This window comes from Homo sapiens, chromosome 13 (assembly GCF_000001405.40).
Source record: "Homo sapiens chromosome 13, GRCh38.p14 Primary Assembly".
Lineage (NCBI taxonomy): Eukaryota > Metazoa > Chordata > Mammalia > Primates > Hominidae > Homo > Homo sapiens.
In genome coordinates, this window is record NC_000013.11 from 38,417,726 (window position 1) to 38,420,314 (window position 2,589).

Here is a 2,589-nt window from a genome sequence, read left to right on the forward strand (position 1 = left end):
CCTCTTGGAAAAGACAAAACTATGGAGACAGGGAAAAGATCAGTGATTACCAGGGTTGGAGTCAGGGAGGGATGAATAGGAAGAACACAGGGGATTTTCAGAGCAGCGCAACTTCCTGTATGATACTGTATTGGTGGATATATGCCACTATACATTTGTCCAAACCCATGGAGTGTACACCACCAAGAGGGAACCCTAGTGTAAACTGTAGACTCTGGGTGGTAATGATGTGTCACTGTAGGTTCATCATTTTGTAACAGATGCACCCCTCTGGTGGAAGATGTTGGTAATGGAGGAGGATATGCATACGGCAGGGGGAGGAGGAGGAGTATATGGCAAATCTCTCTACCTTCCAATTTTGCCATGAACCTGAAAATACTTTGAAAAAATAAAATAAAAAGCATAGAATGTTTGTGTGTTTAAGATATTCTTTACCTAATCTCAGCCTGATCAGCTTTTTCCCTTGCAACATGTAGAATTATAAAATTAGTAAAACTGACAGAACAGGTATTTTGATAGAGTGTGTGGGTTACTCTTTTTTATCCCACATACTCTGTGTTAGAATACAAAATATTTGAGGAAGGTAATGCCCTCTTTCAGTCATTTGTCCTTATTGCAAAAGCCCATTACCTTAAAAGAAGACTTTAAATATTGCTTAGGCCATAGATTCCTTTTTGGTATACCAGCAGTATGGCATAGTATTGCACTATGCTGGATTTCCCAAGTCATTCCTTTTTCTATGTAGAAGCTGTTTTTCTTTTCTCTAACTTCAGAGTGGCCAAGTGGCTCCTTTGACTATGACTAAGAGACCTATTTCAACATACTATATTTTTCCCCACACAAATAATTGCCCTGATTGAAGGGGCATCAATCACCCTGATTATAAGAAGTTCTTTGTGGAAACACTGAGAGAACTTGATTAGAGATTTTTAAAAACTACTCTAAGAAGTTGTACCTAACAGGTACCTAGCTGACATTTCTGAGTTCCTCCCAATATAAATAGAAGACTTCCACAGAGGCGACTACAGCGCATTTTATTGTTGGGCAGTAATATCAAATAATCATTGTCAACTTTTTTTTTTTTTTTTTTTTTTGAGATGGAGTCTCGCTCTGTCGCCCAGGCTGGAGTGCAGTGGCGCATCTCAGCTCACTGGAAGCTCTGCCTCCTGGGTTCATGCCATTCTCCTGCCTCAGCCTCCCGATTGTCAACTATTTTACCATGGTTTGAATGATTTATTCTTAAGACAATTTTTTAAAAACCTGTCATTAAAATCTCACTTAAATCTTATTATGACTTGTATGTTTTTGGAGTATACTTTGGCCACTGTGTCCTCTATTAGGATATTTCTACATTTATTTATTTAGTAAAAACCTAAAGTCACATTATTCTTTCTATGCCACTGGATAATATTGTTAAATTAGATAATATTGTTAAATTAGATTGTTAAAGCTGCCTCTGTACTTACATCCTTAACCTAACATAGTGTGTAAACAGACTGCAATCTAAATTAAGAGTATATTTTGTAACTTGTGGCTTAGTCTTAGCCAATCATAGTAGCTAAGCTTAAGCCAATCATAGTCTGTTAACTGGTCAGACCATGTGCAAATGTGGCAAATGCTGAGCCAAGCTGTAAATAATCAAGCTATTTCTGTATTTCATTTTTGTTTTCTGACAATTAATATTCCCTGTCCCTATAAAGTGAAGCTCCATGAACGTTGCTAAAAGAAAAACCTTAGACAAATTAAATTTAGCAGAGTTTAATTGAGCAAAGAAGGTTTCATGAATCGGGCAGCCTCCTGAGCCAGAGTGGACACAGAGAGACTCCAGTGCAGCCACGTAGTGGAAGAACATTTATGAACAGTAAAAGGAAAGTGACATACAGAAAACAGAAGTGAGATAAGAAACAGCCAGATGCATTACAGTTTGGCATTTGCCTTATTTGAACATGGTTTGAACAGTTGGCCACCTTTAATTGGACAGAACTCAGTGACTGACACAAGAGTAGGTTAGTCTGTTTACACATCAAGTGAGGTTTCAGTTTACTATGTATAGGGAAACTTTTAGGCTAAACTTAAAATAAGTAAGGAGGCAGGTTTAATATAAACTTAACAATTCTCCCCTTTTGGTCAACTTTGAGAAATAGACCAAAACATTAGGCATTGATGTCACTGTCATTATTGTAAATGTCAGGTAATTTTTTTTTTCTGTAAGGGTTAGAGTAGAGAGGACCTTTTTGTGTTGAATCTACTGTTTACAAGAGAAAAACAAAGCCAGGTCTATTTTAGGATCTATCTGAGTCAATGATTCAGTTTGATTATGTCATGTTTAGCATGAGTGACTCCATTTTGGTTTGACCTGGTCTGTTGGAGCCTACTTCACAAGCTCAGTTTGAAACAATGGCCTCCCATAATTTTGTTTAAAAAAATGTCCCCCTGGCCAGGCATGGTGGCTCACACCTGTAATCCCAACACTTTGAGAGGCCAAGGTGAGCAGATCACTTGAGGTCAGGAGTTTGAGACCAGCCTGGCCAACATGGTGAAACCTTGTCTCTATTAAAAATACAAAAATTAGCCAGGTGTGGTGATATG

General features: G+C 37.9%; 1 annotated feature.

Annotated features, from left to right (window-relative positions):
• Nucleotides 2,014–2,063: a silencer, noted in NCBI's record as "silent region_5273". NCBI's record gives its function as "represses an Ori minimal core promoter by ATAC-STARR-seq in GM12878 lymphoblastoid cells {active_cell/tissue: GM12878}" and the evidence as "EXISTENCE:reporter gene assay evidence [ECO:0000049][PMID:35858748]".